The sequence below is a fragment of the Homo sapiens genome, chromosome X (assembly GCF_000001405.40).
Source record: "Homo sapiens chromosome X, GRCh38.p14 Primary Assembly".
NCBI classification, from domain to species: domain Eukaryota; kingdom Metazoa; phylum Chordata; class Mammalia; order Primates; family Hominidae; genus Homo; species Homo sapiens.
The window spans coordinates 20,605,425-20,626,642 of record NC_000023.11 but is presented as its reverse complement, the minus strand read 5'-3'; the positions used below and the strand labels follow the sequence as shown (position 1 = coordinate 20,626,642).

The 21,218-nt window shown below is 38.1% G+C and overlaps 1 long non-coding RNA gene across 1 annotated transcript in view; it reads left to right on the top strand.

The window, feature by feature from the left end:
* Positions 1-20,166, top strand: part of LOC124905257 (uncharacterized) — a 121,005-nt gene extending 100,839 nt beyond the window's left edge. Inside the window, exon 3 of the long non-coding RNA XR_007068409.1 lies at positions 18,697-20,166. This is a non-coding gene — a long non-coding RNA (uncharacterized LOC124905257). The remainder of the gene's footprint in view (positions 1-18,696) is intronic.
* The last annotated feature ends 1,052 nt before the right edge of the window (positions 20,167-21,218 follow it).

Genomic DNA, 21,218 nt, shown 5'->3' with positions numbered 1-21,218 from the left:
GAAATCCTGTCTCTACTAAAAAATATAAAAATTAGCCAGGCATGGTGGCATGTGTCTGTAGTCACAGCTACTCAGGAGGTTGAGGTAGGGGAATTGCTTGAACCTGGGAGATGGAGGTTGGAGTGAGCCAAGATCATGCCATTGCACTCCAGCCTGGGTGACAGAGCAAGACTCCATCTCAAAAAAAAAAAAAAATTATCTTGGACCCTCCAGATTAGCCAGCTGAGTTCCCCTCAGTAACCTCAACTGACTCCATCATGAACAGAAGAAACAACTAGCCAATATCTGCCTGAGTTTCTAAAAAGTGTTATTTTAAGCCACTAAGTTTTGGAGTGATTTATTACACAGTAATAGTAACTGGAATTGACACTCTTGGGCCACACTAAGAACTTACTCATGTAACCAAATAGCACCTGTACCCCCAATAACTTATGGAAAAATAAAAATAATAAAATAAAAAGGGAAAAAATTGTTAAAATGGCAAATTTTATGTTATGTCTATTTACCATGACTTTTTTAAAAGTCAAGAAATGGAAGAGAACCCACAAATGAGACTAAGAGGGAGCAGTCTGAGAGACAGGACAAAATCCAGAAGAGTGTGTGGACCCTTGAAAGAATTGAGAAGGTAAAAATGACCACGTTTGCAAATGCTGCTAAAACCCTGGGAGAGAGCTGAGAACTGACCACTGGGTTCAGCAATGTGGAGGGTATGGGATCCATAAGAGCAGTTTCAGTGGCATGGTGGAATGAGTTAAAGAGAGAATGTGAATTGAGGACGCAGAGACAATGAGAGACTAAACTTTCAGGAAGTTTTGCTGTGAGGAGTAATAGATAAGTGGGGTAGAAGGGGGACGGTAGCTCCAGGGAGGGCTTTTGGTAATGTGCCTGGTCACCACTGGGAAGTAAATCTCAGTTGAATCAGGAGATGTGATTTTATATCTAATCAGGACCTAATTTCCATAACAAAAGGCTGAGCAATGCACACTAAAAATCAGACAAAACACGTAAGTAACTAGTAAGAATTGTGGATTAATCCTTCCAGTTAGTGACAGGATTCAACCTCTTCGCAAGCTATTAGCCTATTCCCACATTCCATAGTTAAACAGATACATGGAAAATTTGGAAATGACTCAAGGAAAATCACAAATATGAGGGGCTTTGATGAACAGGAAAAGCAAAAGGAAAAAGAAAGAAGGGGAAATTATGGAAATATTTAATTATTCTTCTCATGCAACTATAGGGCTTTTTCACAGAGAATTTATGAATATTATTTGCCATATACTCAGAGGAATAATAAAACTTTAGTAAACTGACATAAGCAACAGGATAGGCATTGAGAAAGGCAAAACAGAACATATTACATGTTACATATTCCAGCATGAAATTTGAAACATTGGAATGAGTTTCTGGTTACAAAATTTCTTTGCTCTTGCTTAAAAAAACAGACAAGTTCTTTTTAACATTGTTCTGGAATTTCTGGCCAATAAAGAAGACATTAAACCAAAACAAGAAGTATGACTATTGGCAGGCAAAGGACATAATTTGTATTATTTGCAGATATTAAGATGCACACATAAGGAAAGAAAATCAATAAGAAAACTATTAGAATTAATAAACACATTCAAAAAAGTGGCTGAGTGCAGGGTAATTATCAAGAAATCAATAGTTTAGGTAATAAGCAGCTAGAAATATAATGAAGATACAATAGCACACCCTAAAAATAGCCTAGAAATAGCTTATAATAAGAAATGTTTGGGATACATACATAAATGTGTGTGTGTGTGTGTGTGTGTGTGTGTGTGTGTGTGTAGTATAGATACAGATTTCTGTATTAAGAGAATTAAAAGAAGACTTGAATACCATCCTCCTGGTTGGGCAGACTTAATCTTTTCCCAAATGAGGAGTAATGCAATCCCAATCATAATCTCATGGGGATTGATTTTAATTGAATAATATGTTTCTAAAGTTCATCTGAAAGAATAAACAGGCAAAAAACAAACCAAGAAAACTATTGAAGAAAAATGAGAGTGGGCTTGTTCTGCCAGATATTAAAATTATTTATAAATCTCAATTGAAATAATGAGACATTGATAAAATATCCTTATAAAGACAGCAATAAAATTGAAAAAATAATACAGGAACAAATTCTGGAATGCAAAAATATTTACCAAATGATTGAATACGCATAGAAAACAATTGAGAAAGGATGGATTTTTTTCTTAAGGAGTGTAAAATAGAAATTAACATCTATGGAGAAAATCACATTAAATTATCACTATATCACACGCCAAAATAAATTTTTAATAGATTAAAAAATTAAACACAAACAGTCAAGCCATATAAAAGCTAGTCTTCTATATATAAGCATCTGATTTTTTTACTGAAGAAAGGTTTCTGAAGTTTAAAAGCAATATTTAATTTAATTTTTATTAAGGTAAAATATACATATAAAGTGTACCATCTTTATCATTTTTAAGGGTACAGTTCAGTGGTAATAATACATTTATATTCTTTTTAAAAAGTAAATCAACAAAATGACTGTGAAAAATATTTGTAATAACTATGGTAGACTAAAGTTCATATACATAATATATAATGAATTCTTAAAAACTGGTAAGATAATCTTAAGACATCATAGAAAAATAGTCAAAAGACAATCTTAAAAAGAAAAAATGCAAATGGCCAAAAAGTAACCTCATTCATAATCAAAGTAAAATCAAATTAGATAAATGTGATAGAGAGTAATACTAATGACTCCCAATGAATCACACCTCTCTGGGTCCATGCTCCTTTGTAATATGACATTGATCTCTGTTCATGAAGAGGTGCAATCTATTTTCCCACCCCTTGAAGCTGGGATGGCCTTGTGACTTGCTTTGACCAAAAGAATGCGGTGGAAATTACTCTGGAGGTTAGACAGTGCATCTTTCACTCTTATCATTGGAACCTTGAAACTGTGAAGAAGCTCAGTCTCACATGTATTTCAGGATGAGAGACCGTGATGGGGGGAAAAAAGGTGACTCAACTAGCAGTCAGAAGTAACTTCCAGACAGACATGTGAATGAGGTCATCTTGTCCCCTTCAGCCCCAGTTGAGTTGTCAGAGGACTTCAGATGCATAAATGATCTGAGACCAGGAGAAAAACTACCTAGCCCCAGATTACCAGCCCATAGAATCATTAGAAATAATAAATTATCTTTGTCTTAATTTACTAAGCTTTGGAGTGGTTTGTTTTGCAACAATAGATAACTGATACAATAAGTTTTCATTTTACCAAAGAATTAAAGGAAAAAAGAAGAAACTAGTTACTAATTAAGGAATAGTTAGGGAAATTCCATATTGCTGGGAGTGCAAGTGGTAAAAATTCTCTGGAAAATGATGTTGCAATATTAATCCAGATCTTAAATATATTTATATACGTTAACTAGATAATTCTCCTTCTACAGTTTTATCCCATAGAAAATATTAAAAATGTGGACAAGATTTATGTCCAAAGATTTTTTTATCTAAATTCTGTTTAATTCATGGCAAATGTCTGTATGTTCAACAATAGAATACTATGTTTAAAAAAATTAAAGTGTATTTATGTGATGAACTATTATTTCATGGAACTTGTTTCCTGTCATCAGAATTCATGGGTACAGACCTAAATATACTTTATAATCTGTGAGGGTTTGTGATCAGGGGAGGATGGTAGCAAAGATTAAAATGAAATATATACCAAAAACTTAATAGTAATTATCTCTCAGTGTGTTATATGAGTTATTGTTATTTTTTTCTTTAGGTTTCCTTTTATTTCGTAAGTTTTCAATGATAAGAATGCACTCCTTATATTAAAAAGAGTGTATATTACTTTGAAACTGGGACAAGTTTGGAGTTGTCTGAGAAGATTTAAACATGGTCCTATTTTAAAGCGATAACAGTTGGGGGGCACAGTGGTTCATGCCGGTAATCCCAGCACTTTGGGAGGCCAAGGCTGGTGGATCACTTGAGGTCAGGAGTTCAAGACCAGCCTGACCAACATGGTGAAACCCCGTCTCTACTACAAATACAAAAATTAGCTGGGTGTCGTGGCTTACGCCTGTAATCCCAGCTACTCGGGAGGCTGAGGCAGGAGAACCACTTGAACCCAGGAGGCAGAGGTTGCAATGAGCCAAGATCATGCCACTGCACTCCAGCCTGGGTGACAGAGTGAGATTCCGTCCCAAAAAATAATAATAATAATTAAAAAAATAGATAATGAACTAACAAACATTTACTGATCACCTGCTATGTACAAATCACTGTGTTAAATGTTGAGGTGGTCTTATTGAAAGGCTCTTGAAACCATGAGCCCATAACAGATAAGGCTCCAAAAAGTGACCAACTTAAAATGGTCCCTACCAGTTGTTTACAGAGTGTGGTACATTGATAAAAAATAAAAAAATTTAAAAAAAATTAAAAAAAAAACAAGAGAAAACTGCAGATATACCAAGCAACTGCCATCTAATCAAGAGGTATCTCAGAGACAAGTTTCACTCATCTGAACAGATTCAACATCTCAGAGGTTGATTGGCTCTTTGGCCCATATGAATTCAGTTTGAGCTCTGGTTGGTGGATAAAGATATGTTTAAAAAAAAAAAATACCCTCTTAAATCAATGCTGGAAACTCCAGCACAGGACTAGGCAGAAAAAAAACATGTGGGCCAATGGCTAACTCAGGGTTATTAAGACATGGATCATAGACAGCTCATAGCAACCTGCCAAGCATAGTTCTTAAGGCCTTGGGGCTATACATAATCACTGGGCTTAATACTCTGTATGGAATGAAAGTCCCTAGAAATACCAACAGTTTCTACCCACGTTAGCAAGACTAATAAATGGAGAGTGTCATGTCATCCATTTCTTTTCTCTGTGATCTCATAATAACACATATTTCAAGAGAGACCTGGGACCACACCAACCCAACCTTAGGCCTTTATATAGGTAAATTAATTGGAGAAAGTATAATAACAGGAATTTAAAGGCTCAGTGAGATGGGAAAGTTGGAGTGGATTTATCATGTGTAACTGGCTTACCCAACCACAACTATGTCCTCAAGAGGAGTAGATTGACCACCCCTGAATCTATCAAGTCTTTATTGACAGCACTCATCTCTAGTTACCCCAGGGGTTTGATTTTGATTAAATAGTTTGTTAAAGTTAGGGTGTGTCCTCATTTCATAGGTTAAGGAAGAATTTTGAAAGTTGCTCAGTATTTCACTTGCACCTATCTGCTCAGGAACTGTGAAATAATAGGATGGTATTATGGAGCAAACTGTGTCTCCTAAAATTCAGATAACAAAGCTTTAACCCCCAATGTGACTGTATTTGGAGATAGGGACTTTAAGGAGATATTTAAAATTAAACAGGGTCATTATTCTGGGGCCCTAATTTAATAGGAATGGTGTCCTTATAAGAAGAGGGAGAGATACCAGGGGCACATGCAGAGAGAGAAAAGGTATGTGTGAGAACACATAGAGAAAACAGCCATTCACAAGCCAAGGAGAGAGACCTCAAGAGAAACCAACCCTGCTGGCACCTTGATCTTGGACTTCCAGCCTCCAAAACTGTGTGAAAATAAATTTCTGTTGTTTAAACCACCCAAACTGTGATATTTTGTTGGCAGGCCTAGCAGACAGATGGACTTACAAAACTCCCAGAGCCACAGTGAGATGAACTTAGGCCAAAACTTCATTTATCATCTAATGATTGTTAGCCCGTGACACTGATAGGCAGACCACATTGGTATTCTGGGTTTCCAAGAATTATTATGAACTCAATGCATTTTACTTTTTCCTAGTGAAGCTACCTAATTAAATAGCTCCAGACCCCTTGGAAAAAGGTCAGGGGTCAAGTTTACAGTCCCACAAGAGTGCCCAGCATCTTTTTTATTGAAGGGGCTCTAGATCTGTTATTGACTCAAGCCGGGAATTGGAAGAGGATCCCATATTCTCTAACATTATTACTCAGTCTCTGTTCACCAGACAAAGAAGATGTTAGATCACACATTTAGTCATTTATTTCAGCTCTAGAGAAACCATAATCAATTAGCTACTGCCAAAGATCCCTGTGGGTCAAGCCAGTATGACAAGCATTTAGGTTTGTTGCCTATTATGATAACCACACCCACTGGCTTCTAGTGACTAAGTGCTATTACTCAGCCTCTGCCTCAGCCACCCTGTTTCAATAGTTGCATTTCCCATCTTTGTCCCTTGCCTACAGAAAACATCAATACTATGCTTTTCCAGGATGCTGCTTCCACCTTCACCAATTTATTCTTTATTGCCACGGTGAGGAAAATATCTTCTAGGTTCTCTCAGAAGACATAGCTGTAGGTTAAGTAAGCCAGTTGAACATGATAAATACACTCCAATATTTTTATCATCATAAGCCTTTGAATTCCTTCTTTTACATCATAGATATTTCTGGCATCACTACTTTATTTCACATAGGCCATCATTAAGTACAAGTTTTAGTCAAACGAAACAAATAGAACTGGCTGCTTGAATTCAGAATATATGGCAAGGGCAGTCTCGTTAATTAATTCAGCCCAATCTAAAATTACTTTGAGCCCTGTTGCCCTGTTTTTGTTGTTGTTGCTACTGTTTCTTCTTTTGGTTGTTATTATTGCTATTCACCAAAAAAAATCAAGTCACACTAAAGATTTTGTGAGTTCAGTCACTTCATTAAAGATTTAAGAGATCACAAGAAGGATCTCAGGGCTACTACACGATCTTCCACTATTCTCCCATTCTTCCCTTTACACTCCAAATATTTTTCAAAAGACCATGGTTTCCAATAAGTTAGATAACTTACATAAAATAGACAAAATCCTAGAAAACACCAACTTCCAAAAATGACTCAAAAAGAAATAGAGAATCTAAATAAATATAAACAATAAAGAGATTGAATTAGTGATCAAAGCAACCGACATTCAACACAAAAACTTGTACACAAATTTTCATGGCAGAATTATTATAATTGCCAAAAAGTGCAAACAAACCAAAGGTTCATGAACTGATAAAATGTAAAATGTTCATATTATACAATATTACTTAGCAATAAAAAGGAATGCAATATTGATACATGCTACAACACGGATGAACTTTGAAAACATTATGCTAAATGAAAGAAGCTAGTCACAAAAAGACCAAATATTTTATGGTTTCATTTACATGAAATGTCCAGAATAGACAAATCTATAGAGCAGTTGCCTAAGCTGGAAAACATGAAGGGTAATGAGGGTTGGCTGCTAAGGGTTTGGGGATTGCATTTGGAGCAATTAAAATGTTCTAAAATTGTGTATGGTAATAATTTTACAATTCTGTGGATATACTAAAAACCATTGAATTGTATACTTGCAATAGCTGAGTAGTACAGCATGTGAATTATATCTCAATAAAGCTGTTACCAAAAAAAAAAAAAAAGCCTATGGTCCCACAGATGACTCTATCTCAATCAGCTCTGTAGAAGTATAATCCTGGCCTCTGTTCTAATTGTTTCTCTTGGTCCTTTCAGTATTATTAACATGTCAAATATCAGAAATAAGAATATATATTTGTCATAATAATGAGCTAGAGGTGAAATTGAAGGCCAAATGAATTACTAAATTTATGTAAAATACAACATTTCCTTGACATAAATATTGTTTTAAAAATTAAATCATCCATGCTTGAGAAAATTTTAACTTGAAAAACACCAGACACCTTTCAATATCAGATATTCAAGAACTTAGCAATTTAAATATATAACCTAAATTATAATTTTAAAAAATATTTATTATTCAATTTGTACAACTTCATTATCAATTAAATAACTAATGCAGATAAGCAAAAAGAGAACTTTTTAAAAATCACACATAATAACACTACCCAGAGGTAACTTATCATTTTTTTACTTAATTATGCTGGTATATACATGCAAGCATATGAGATTACAGAGTACTTACTCAGAGATTTGTGAGTGGTGTCTACTAGTCACCATGATAAGAAGAAAGAAAACTTTCATATTAATAAATATACAGCTTTATCATTAATCTTAACTGCTGTATCATATTTATTTTAGACACACCATAATTTATTTATGACATCTCTATCGTGAGACATTTATACTATTCCCTCTTTTTATTTTGCATAAATGACAAAAATTAAACCTTCTTGATACCCATCTTTACATATATATTGAATCACTGAATTAGGATAAATGACTAGAAGTGGAATTTTTGAGCTAAATAATATATACTTGGATATGATATATATTACAAAATTTCTCAGCAGAATAATTCATCAGAAACAACCAGTATTATAAGAAAGAGTGCCTATTTTTCCAAATCTTAGCCAAGACTTTGTGTCTGCAATCTTTTTAATCCTTACTATTCTGAGAAAATATATCTCATTATTTTAATTTGCATTTATTTGTTTCATATTTTAATGTTCATAGGCTTAGTAAGTTTACTATTCACAGCCTTAATTCATTTTTTATTAGTTTTTCTTTTTGTATCAGTTTATAATAGCTCTTTAAATGCTAAGGCTATTAATCTTTTCTCTGTCATAAATGTTGCAAATATATTTTTTCAGTTTTACAGATATAGTGTTTTTTACCATATAGAACTTCTGAACATCTTTGTGGTCAAATATTTCAATATTTTTTAAATTTTATGTATGTATTTATTTATTTATTTGAGACAATCTGTCACCCAGGCTGGAGTGCAGTGACATGATCATGGTTCACTGCAGCCTTGAACTCCTGGGCTCAAGCGATCCTCCTGTCTCAGCCTCCCAAGTAACTGGGACTATAGGCGTGCACCACCATGCCTGGCTTAAGTTTTTTATTTTTGTAGAGATGGGGTCTCACTATGTTACCTAGGCTTGTCTCAAACTCATGGGCTCAAGCCATCCTCCCACCTCAGTCTCCCAAAGTGCTGGGATTACAGGCGTGAGCCACCATGCCTGGCCAGTCTTTTCCTTCTGATTTCTGCCAGTGAGGTAATGGTTAAAAAGCCCTTCCCAACCTAAGACAAATATTGAGTCTCCAACAACTTTTTTGATTTCAAATATTCAATCTATGAGGATTTAAATAGAGCTCCAAATTAATTTTTTGCCACATTATTAACCAAGTGTCAGCATAATCACTAATTTGAAATGTGACTTCTCTCACATATTCTAATTCCTATATACGTGGGGGTGTGTTTCTTTTTCTTTTTCCTTTCCCTTTTTGAGACAGCATCTGGCCCTGTCACCCAGGCTGGAGTGCACTGCTGTGATCATGGCTCACTGCAGCCTTGATATCCTGGACTCAAACGATCCTTCTTCTTCAGCCTCTGGAGTAGCTAAGACTACAGGTGCATGCCACCAAGCCCGGTAAATTTTTTTTTTTTTTTTTTTTTGAGAGACAGGGTCTTGCTATGTTGCTGGTCTTGAATTCATGGGCTCAAGCTATCCTCCCACCTTGGCTTCCCAAAGTACTGAGATTAGAGCTATGAGCCACCACATCTGGCCTCATGGGGTTGTATTTCTCAACTCCCTCTCTCTCTCCCCTGGTCTATCTGATTGATCCTATCTGCAACAAGACTTTCTCCTTTACTGTGCTGATCATCTGTCAACACTGGGCTCCATCCATACTGAGCAGTCTCAGTGATGGCTGCAGTTTTCTGCTGGCACTTCCAGTCCTTATTACATGACACCCACAAACAGGTTGCTTGGACCCCAACTAATTACATAGTTTAATGACTGTTTTTGTTTTCATTTTTGTTTTGACCAGTAATCATAATGTTTTATTCTTCCTAGCATATACTTCAGTCATTCATTCAACATCAGGCCACAAGGGTGCTTGGATCAGGACACTGTCAAGTAGGTCACCATGCCACCTATTCCTAAAATCACTGCTCCTCATCCACCCATTAGATATTGTTGCTGAGTTTGGCTTTCCATGTCTCCCACTCCAGAAGGCAAAAAATTCTCACAATGTCCTAGAAGGCTGTACAGGACGTGGGCCACCTTTACCTGTCCAATCTCATCTCCTGCAACTCCCTTGGCTGCCTTCACTTCAGCCACACTGATGTCTTTACTATTTCTTGAACACTTTGGCCAGGATAGACCAGTTTCCCTCCAGGACAGTTGTACTGGCCATTCCCTCTTCCTGGAATTCTCTTCCTTCAGATATCTACATGGATAACTTGCTTACTTCATGTTTTTGCTGAAGTGTCACCTTGTAAAGGATATCTACTCAAACCATCTGTTATATACTAAATCGTGTCCCCTCAAAATTCAGATGTTGAAGCCCTAATCCCCAATGTGACTGTATGTGGAGATAGGGCCTCTAAGGAGGTAATAATAATTAAGTGAAGTAATAAGGGTGGTACCTAAATCCAATAGGGCTAGTGCTCTTATAAGAAGAGGAGGAGACACCAGAGCTTTTTCACAGGGACACTGCGAGAAGGCAGCCATCTGCAAGCCAGGAAGAGAGCCCTTATCAGAAACTGAGTTTGCTGGCACTTGATCATAGATTTCTAGCCTACAGACCTGTGAGAATATAAAAGTCTGTTGTTCAAGGCACCAACTCTGTGCCATTTTGTTATGGCAGCCTGAGCAAACTAACATGCCACCTCATTCATAAGTTAACACCATCCCCCTCTTCGCCTGTACTGCTAATCCCCCTTATATTATTCTATGCTAGCCCTTAACATCTTCTTCTAAAATAATCTAAAATTTACTTTAATTTTTTATTTTTAAATTTTGTGGGTATATAGTATGTGTCTATATTTCTGAGTTACATGAGATGTTTTGATATAGGCATGCAATGCGTAATAATCACACCAGAGTAATTGGGGTATCCATGCCGTCAAGTATTTATCCTTTGTGTTACAAACAATCCAATTATACTCTTTTAATTATTTTTTAAATATACAATAAATTATTGTTGACTTTAGTCACCTAGTTGTGCTATCAAATATTATATATTTATTCTAACTATGCTTTGCAACCATTAACTATCCTCACTTCCTCCCTGCCCCTCCAACACTTCCAAGCCTCTAGTAAGCATCCTTCTGTGCTCTATCATCATGAGTTCAATTGTTTTCATTTTTAGCATCCACAAATAAGTGAGAATATGCTATGTTTGTCTTTCTGTTTCTGGCTAATTTCATTTAACATAATGGCCTCCAGTTCCATCCATGTTGTTGCAAATGGCTGGATATCATTCTTTTTTATGGCTGAATGGTACTCCATTGTATATATGTACCATATTTTCTTTATCCATCCCTCTGTCAATGAGCACTTAGGTTGCTTCCAAATCTTGGCTACTGTGAATGATGGCAAGAATGTGGAGAAAAGGGAACCCTTATACACTGTTGATGGGAATGTAAATTAGTACAGCAACTATGGAGAGCAATTTGGGAAGTTCCTCAAAAAACTAAAAATAGAGCTACCATATGGTCCAGCAATCTTACTGCTGGGTAAATACCCAAAAGAAAGGAAGTCAACATATCAAAGAGATATCTTTACTCCCATGTTTATTAAAATTTACTTTTTATTATTTTAATTGCCAGTCTTCCTCCACTAGAATACAAACTCTATGAGTGCAAGGATTTCTGTTGCTTTCATTCACTGATGCATTTCCAGCATATAGAACTGTACTTGAAACATAGAAGATTCTCAATAAATATCCGTTGAATAAATGAATGAATCACAGCAGGCCTCTTCTTCCTTTTAGGTGAAGTCTCTCTGTCTCTCTCAGAAGCCCTATTCCCTACCCCATTCCATTCCACTTTGAGGACACTATTTGAGTCCCTTGTTCACATACGGCCTTGGCTCCTATGACAATCAGTGCAAGGCAATAGATATTAAAGTTGGAATGAGAGATCCCCTTCCTCTGGGCATATCTGAATTTCAGGTCCAACTAAGCAAGGATATTTGGTATATTAATTGGGGGGTTCCAGGTAGCTCACTGGGGAGGTGAGCTCAGGGATCAGGAGTGAAGGAGCAGGGAGAGTAAGGCAGACAAGGAAGAAAGTTAAGGAAGGGTATGTTCTTGAAATGATTAATCCTGTGGGCAGCTGGAGACTAATCCTGCTGGGAGCACACTGGAAATGATGTAGAATGTGCCTCAGAATGATTCCTCCATAGGAGAGGAAGCCATTATGGGCCCTTTCCTGTCCTCCTTTGTTTCAGAGTTGCATCCAGAGGTTTTGACCCCCATGCCCCACTCCTTGCCATATCCCAGGATGTTCTATGTGAGGGCTGAGCAAGATGCAGCAGGCACTGGGGAGAACCCCTCAGCATACACAGGAAATGGCCACCACAGCTATGGCTGAAGTCGCATAAAGGTAGAGGGAATGTGGTTTGGGACACAAAAAGAATCAGCTACATTTGGTTACAATAAATTACATTTTAAGAACTACTTTCAAATCTAATGATCACAATAATTTCATATTCTATTACTAAGCTTTCCTTTTTCACATATTTAAATGAACTTTGCTAGAAAGATATTATCCACAACATGGCATGATGAACCCATAAAATGAGAAGAACCCAACTGCTCCATGAACAGAAAGCCAGTCTGCAGCTCTTAATCTACCTTTATTTTCACGAGCAAGATCACTTGTTGGATTGTGAGAATTCTGTTATCCACTGTAGCTCTTGCTGCCAGTAATTTTCACTGTGTACCCATGATCACTGCTCCTCACACGGCAAGATGTGTGTAATATTTCAGCAAGAACTGCTGTCTGTCTTATTAGACTCTCCTGAAAGCCTCCTCAGAAGGCTCATCGCATTCCTCTCACTAATTAATTAAAACTGTTGCACCAAGTCAACTAAATGGCACAGTACCCAGGAACCACAATGATTTTCTCAGAAAAGAACATCTCCTAATGAGGACTTCATCTAAGGACAGAGCATTCATTCTTTTTCCAGGAAATCCAACTAAATCAATTCAATATTTAAGGATACAAGAAGTTTAATAGACGTAAGAATAGACAAATAAAATATATGCAAAACCTGCACAGAGAAGAGCTTGAGCATGTACAAAGAGATTTTCTAAAGCTCAGTTCTGGAAAGAATTTATGGTCAAGGAAAGGATAAGATGCTTAGATAATACTTGCGTCCATAATCATCTGAAATGTCCTGTCTGGTAGTTTTGGATGCAAGTCTAACTCGAATTAGAACTGTTCCTGGCTTAGAACTGTCAGTATCTATTTCTACCTGACTAGGAGGACATGCCTGGCAGGTAGTAGGTCTTTACATTTGTCAAAAGCACAATACCTCTTTCAACTTAATCCTTGCTTCTGTACCTGAGAAAATAAGCCTAACTTTAGGCTTGGTATTCTGCCAAACATTCTTCAGATTTAGGCTCAAGTGGTATTGAACAGTTATGGTCCAGGCAATGTGCTAGATGCTTCAGTGTAAGCTTATCTCATTTAGTTATCATCCAAACCCCATGAAATGGGCACCTACTATTTGGTAGATGAGAAAAGTAGACAACAGAGAAGCTGAGTCTTTTGCTCAAGGTCACACAGCTAGAAAATGTACAGTCAAGGTTCCAAGTTTAGGGACTAGGAATCTGTTTGCTTGCTGGCTGGCCTGTTGGCCTAAAATTTTTTTACCATTCCTCCCATCAAGAGGGGGCTGCTTTATGACTCTGCTCCTTGAATCCAGGAAGGCTTCTAGATACTTTGACCACAAGGGAAAAGTGAAGGTCATGCTATGAGATCCCGAAGGCTTGTTCACAAGGGCTCAGCAACTTGCCTGGACTCTCTTGGAGCACTCGCATCTTCCAGAGACTCCTTGGCCCCTCACCCAGCCACATGGAGAGGCCACACATAGATCCTCAGGTCAACAGTCATTGAGTTGTTCCAGCTCATACCCCAGACATGTGAGAAAAGAAGCCTCCAAATGGTTTCAGCCCCCAGCCATTCAAGTCACCCCCAACCATCTGAGTCCTCCCAGCTGAGAACTTACACATCATGGGTCATCACTGTACCTTGCCTGAATTCCTGACTCCCAGAATTTGTGAGCTTAATAAAATGGTTGTTGTTATTTATACCACTAATTTGGGATGGTATATTGTGTAACAATACTAATTGGAACAAGGAACTTTCCCTAAACTTTAAACATTCTGTATACATGTGATGACATACAATCCCACAAAGTTCCCCAGGCTCATGGAGACCACATGAGTGCCAACTAGATCCCTTGAAGTTACAGGGGAGCAGAAAGCTGGGACTCTGGCCAACTCTGATCTGGGTTTTGTTTCAAACACTCTGGCCTCAATAATTTTTCACTTTTTTCTATTAGGACTTTTCAGTATCTATTTCTACCTGGTACCTTGTCTAAATCACACAAAGCATCCTCAGTCCATCTGACCCTTCCTGGAACCATTGAGATTTCTGTGTTCATTCTTCTCAGTTCTAAGTTTCCTGGTGGTCTAGTGGTTAGGATTTAGCAGTCTCATTCTTCACATTCCTCCCTCTGGCCTGCAGAAAAAAAAAAAAAAATAGATCTCTAGTTTCTCTTGCTCTCAATCTCCAGACCTGATCACCTACTCTATTTTAGTTGAAGTCACTATTTTTCACAGATATCTAAGCTTACCTGCCCTAAGGACCTGCCTCATAGTCTCTCAACGTTAAACATGAGATCAGGAGGGCATCTATCTTTCCTCTCCACCAGAGACGGCATAAGTGCTAGATCAAGGGCCTGTCCAGACAAGAAAAGCAGAGCATCCTCAATTGAAACATGAGGTTTTATAATAATTTGATTTTTTAAGCCCTTACCTTAAATATGTCATCACTTTAAAAAGGAAACATGTATGGATTGTATTAGAATCTCAATCAAATAAAAACAATTAACTGATTATAAAAAATACAATTCAAGATAACTATGCTAACAACTTTTTAAATAAAAGCAGGCATTTGGAACGATGTTTCTGTTTTAGGGACTCTGATTAGGAACGTCATGTCCCAAAGCAGATCAGAGCCCAGATGGGGCAGAGGTAAGTCTCACATTGCGGAGTCTGTGGTTTCTTATCTAAGTAAGGTCCAACTTAAACCCAGACAGAGTAGGCAAATATTCTGCATACTAAGAGCAGAGAGTAAATAGGAATTTCTCAACGCTAAACACAAAGACTAAGTACACAGTAACTAATGCTTGAAATTCTACTATTCCAGGTTTATTCCTTTGGCTTAAGGCTTTGTTCCCCTTTACAATGCAAAGATCTTGTGAGTTATTTACAACTTAGTGATAGAGACAGGTCTTGCCAACTACCTACCTAATATCCATGTTCCCCTTTTATCTGGTTACAGAACCCCAGTTGGGGGGTAAGGTAGCAAGATGCCCAGTTTCCTTTTCAGCTGGGGTGGTCATGTGATCCAGCTCTGGCTTATGACATATAAGTGGAAATCATTGGGAGGAACTGCTTAGAAAGCTTGTTAAAAGAGGCAGACTTCTAAACACAATGGCCCTTTCCATTTTCCATTCTTCCTTCATGGAAGGTGTACATACTTCATGAAGGCACAGGAGCCATCTTGCAATCCCAAGGACAAGAACTCAACACTAAGGATGGAAGAGTAGATTTAAGAGCTAAAATGCGGCTGAGTTCCAACCTTTAATCTAAAATATTCATGTAAACATTGGTTCCTTGCATAAAATCAGGGATAGGCCAAGATTCAAAATGATGGAGAGTTTCCTTTAGGTTAAAATTATTGGTATTGTTTACCCCATCTCTTTCATAAAAATATTCTCATAGGTTGTGGGTATATTTTGTGAACTCTCACTACCAGTTAAGTACGTGGGAATCAAGTAAGTCACAATGTTTTACTTAAATGCCACAAAGAAGGATTTGCCCATTTCACAGCACTGGGGTAGAGCAGTGCTTCTGAAACATTAATTGCAATATGAATTAGCTGGGGATCTTATTAAAGTATAGGCTCTGATTTAGCAGGTCTAGGGTGATACCTGAAATCCTGCAGTTCTAATAAGCTCCCAGGTGATGATAAAGCTAGTCCATGAACCACACTTTGAGTTGCCAGAAAGTAGAGCAGGTGCCAACCGGGATGCTCATCAGGATCATTTTTAAAAAGAAGAAAACACACACACACACACATACACAGAGAGAGAGAGAGAGACAGAGAGAGAGAGTGAGTCTTGGGCCACATCCCAGCTCTACAGGTCAGAATCTCGGGGGATGAGGTGCAGGAGTTTGTTTTATTAACCACCTCCCCAGGTAATTCCTATTTAGCCATAAGATGCACCTGGTCTGCAATGAGCAGAGCAGCATGTCTCAAAGAGTAGCTGTGCACCTTCTAACTCAGAATTGCCAAAGGAGCTTGATGACCGTGCAGATACCTTCCTTCTGCTGCTTGGGAAGGAGGCGAAGAGGTGGATGGAGTACAAAAAATAAGGAGACTGTATAAAATGGGAGATTGACATCACTTCAACTCCCACCTGGCAGGAGTAGAGAAGGCCAATTCTCTTGGAAGTGACAGCATGGAACATCCCTCCTGCTGCCTGACCACCTGCACATCCTTCCTTCTCTTCCTCTCCCTGGCAACTGCCGCAGCCAAGGCTGCCCCTCAGGGGTGCTGGGAGCTGTGGTTAAAGAAGAGGGAGAGGAGCTCAGAGAAATTGTGGAGTTGGGGAAAAAAATAAGGAAAGGCATAAGAATTACAAACAGCCATAGGCTTCTGTTTATATTGCAATTCAGTCCAGTGGAAATAAATAAATACCTATTTTGATATCTGTACTCACTGAAACAATAATAATATATTATTCAGCCAGAAGAGTGCCTTCCAATTGCATTAAATTGTGTCTATGTGCAGATAAGGGTCCAGAAGGCTGTGAATCATATTAATCCCTAATTGGTGGAATTTAATGTTTTTCTTATTGCATTATACTAATCTGTGCTATTTGAAAGTTTTACCCCAAGCATGGATTATTTTTATAATCAGAAGTAAGTAATAAAGCCATTTTTCATTTAGAAGAAAACAAGAAGTCACAGTGCTAAAATACTACAAGGACAGATTAAGGAAGGATACAGCCCCTTTATTCAAAAAACTCACACACTCGGTAGTCAGAATCATGGATGTTTCCTGAGTTGCAGGGACATGTAGCTATGTGGCCCCATGACAGATGTCTGGGCTGGGTTGCCCACAGGGAGTGGCATTTGGTCCAAAAGTCCAAGATGGATTCCAAATGAATGCTATTGAGTGCAGATCTGAAGAGGAGTTTAGTTTATTAAAGGAGGGGAACTTGTCAAGATTAATTTGTATAAATAAAGTTCATTTGGAGATAAATGTATGGGTCTGAGGGATCTAGAAACAGCAGGTGTAATGCTACAGAAAGATAGTAATCTTGCAATTATAACAATGAGATGAGTCAATAGCTTGGCTGGAAATTCAGCAAGTAAACCTGAGACCTCCTTAAAAATGGAACCACTTCTTGTTGCCCTGGGACTTGCTCCTTATGGTACTGAGATGATAGAATTGTCACATGCAAATGAATTAAATCATAACTAGGCATGGAACAACGATCTTTGTAGAAGTTTTGGAGGGCTTTGTACATTCGATAAAAGATGAGCTCAGGAAAGGAAAAATCTGAATTAAACAGGATCTGCTTACTTGGGAATTCCTTGAGTATTGCACACCTATGGTATCTTCTTCCATTGACTTTAGTCGTGGTCATGGAAAATAATAAGCTAAATATTTGTGAGTTCATATTGTCTCAGTCTCCTGCTTAAAGCTTGGGAGAAAAAAAGAAAAACAGATAAAGCAACCTGGAGGGAGGTGGGGGATTTACAATTGTAAATCACTGCTAGGATTTTGAAAGCTGGGTCAGCAAATCTACCTTAAATTCTAAGCTTCTGAACTTTCACTTATGCTGCCCACAACCTAGAGATTGCTAGTTTTCATATTTCCTGTATCTATCACTTTCTATTAGCTCAAGCTCTGGCAGTGAACACCAGTTCATTAAATGACAAATACGAACCTAAATACCAAAACACAAACGCTTAAACTGTTATGAGGCCCCTTCTTGACAGTGATGGATAAAGGCAGAAACAAGGGAGGAGTTTCTACTTGAGGGCTGCACAATACACCTTTGCCTTGGGCAATCTCAGGCGCCTTGGGCAAGGACTTGGAGGAAAACCCTGACTTCACCATCACACTTTCATTGAGTCGGTTTTCAATGTGCTATCTGTGCTGTCTGCTGGGGATCAAGAAGATAAAAAGAGAAAGGTAACTTGGAAAGGGGAATGGGATGGGAAAAGAGAGAATAGAAAAGGGGAGGCTAGGTGGAGAAAAACGTTATAATACAATGTCATGACCAGTGGGCCCTGTGGCCAGCTTGGGGTCATATTCTGTTTCCTGGAATTTCCATTGCTTTCACCTGGTGATTCAGCAGCTAGCACATTGCCAGGGCAGTTACCATGCCTAAGGCTAATTTTACTACTAACAAAAGGTAGGATTTACTAGGTTCTCTGCAGTGACTTTGAAAATATGTGTGATAAAGCATCAGTAACTGAAATCAAAAGAAGCATCTCAAGGGAGGAGATGAGAAATCAGAAATAGGAGATGAGAAACAGTCACTGACTTATTTGCCACCAATGTTAATTACACATGAATGGTTTTACAGTTTGAAAGAATGCTGCATTTAGGGAGCTTTAACTGATACTGATTATTTTTGTATCTTAGGGTCTCAGATCTACAACACCTGAACACCTCCCCTGAGGAAGCCTCAAGTTCAGTGCTAGCTCTGCAGTCAACATCAACCTAAAATATTACTACAGACAGAAATCGTTCTGGATCAAAATTCTGATCTTCTTTCCACTTTTTCAGACTCATCAGAAGAGGTGTCTAAGAAGATGCACAAAAAAATTTGCAAGTGGACCATTATTGCCTGAGGGTCTAAAGTTTTACCAGATTCTTTTTACAATGAAGTATATATAGTGTACATGCTTGGGGAAAATGCTGGGTCTTAAACCCAACCTCTATTAACACGATTATTGCTCATTAATCATGGCTGAAAAATCTGGCATCAAGAATCACCGAGATCCTAGCTACTCAAAGTGTAATCCCTGGATCAACAGCATCAGCAGCATCTGAGAGCTTGTTGGAGATGCAGAATCTCAGGCAGACCTACTGAACCAAAAAAAAAAAAAAAATCTCATTTTAACAAGACCCACAGGGGATTGAAATTTTCCTTCCACATTTGAGAAGCACTGCTCTAGATCCTCTCTCTTGAGGAGGTCATTTACGTCAGGTTCTATTCTTAATAGGAAACAGGTTGAGAAATAAAAACCTCAACAGGGCTACAAATACGAACCCAGAAAATGTGAAGTTTTTAGTGAATGTTGAAAACAAGGCAGCAAAATGGCTGTTTATTAAACCTAATATATTCTGTACTGAGATCAAAAGGCAGGTGTTACAAGGACCATAGCTCTAATTATGAAGTTGGCTATTTCAACACGACCAGCCACTGAACACTACACGCTTCCCCTTCGTGCTTTTAGTCTTTCCCATAAATGCCACATGGTTCTTTTGGCAGAATTAGCTCCCAGATTTGCAGTGGGAATTAGACAAGAACATTTTCTCCTTCCTTTCCTTTGAGATGCAGGGATGGGGGCTAGAGCAGGCAGCAGGGAGCACTTCTGAGGCCAGGAGTAAGCAAAACTAAAACCAGAGAAGGGGTGCCAAGATATGAATGCCAGAGGGAACATAAGGGCACAAAACTGCAAGAGGGGGAAGGAGGGTGACACATTGCCAGGTGCCTGGGACCAGAGACGCACCAAGTGGTAGGGTCTTTTTAAAATTTTATTTCTTAGAATGTATTTTTAATTAACAAATAAAACTTATATTTATGGTATCTAACATGATGTTTTGGAATAGGTAGACACTGTGCAATGGCTAAATCCAGCTAATTAACATATGCATTGCCTCACATTTTTATTTTTTTGTGCTGAGAACACTTAAAATCTACTCTTAGCGATTTTCAAGAACATAATACATTGTTATTAATTATAGTCACTGTGTTGTACAATAGATCTCTTGAATTTATTCACCCTGTCTAAGTGAAATTTTGTATCCTTTGACCACCCCTCTCCCAGTGCCCAGGCAACCAGCATTCCGCTGTCTGCTTCCATGTGTTACACTTTTTTAGCTTCCATGTATATGAGTGAGATCATGTGGGATTTGCCTTTCTGTTTTTGGCTTATTTCACTTAGCAAATGTCCTCCAGGTTCACGCATGTTGTCACAAATGACAGAACTTCTTCTCTTTTTAAGGCTGAGTAGTATTCCATTGTGTATATATACCACATTTTCTTTATCAGCTCATCTGTTGATAGACATTTAGGTTGATTCCATATCTTGACTGTTGTGAATAGTGCTGCAACAAACATGAGAGGGGGTGCAGATATCTCTTTGACATACCGATTTCATTTCCTTTGTATCTATACTGAGCAGTGGGATTACTGGATTGTATGGTATTTCTATTTTTAATGTTTTGAGGATCCTCCATACTGTTTTCCATGTAGCTGTACTAACTTACATTTCCAGGGGTATGGTTTTAATAAGGAACTAAGGGTGGGACTAAAGAGTTGTCTTGAGGTAGGGTAGGTAGCTCCTCTAGATTGAAGCCATCATTTTTCTTTTTAGTGGCCAGTGCCTGGTACAGAGGCCCAGCTAAAGAACCAGGGGAAGACTGGTTCATTCAACATGGGAGTGAAATTATGAAAGGTGTTGAGAGAAGTATGGAGATAAATTAGCCCAACATCTCCACATAGGTTGATGGGTCTGAAAAGCTAAAGAGGGATGCAGTCTTACAGAGCATCATTGAGGATGGAGGATGCTATGCATAGAATCAGACTTCATCAAAACTTGAAACTGATATTTTGTTACCAGCATCCTATCTCTGCATTCTACCTTTCTTTCTCTCTTCCTGCTGCCTCCTCCAACCCACATTCAAACCCCTGGTGTGATATCTGTCAATCAATTCCTTTAAGCCTATAGGTGGCAACCAATTGACTTGTTGCCCTCTTTTAGGAAATTGAATGTGATTGTCTACTCTTTAAAGATTGAACCATCTTCCAGACCCAAATCAATGGTGCCCCCTGAAATTCCTCAAACCCATGTCAACAGACACCTGCTCCATCTATCCCAAAGACAGGTTCGTGTACATGACTCCGAAGGTATAAGAAAAGAGAACTTCCATAACCA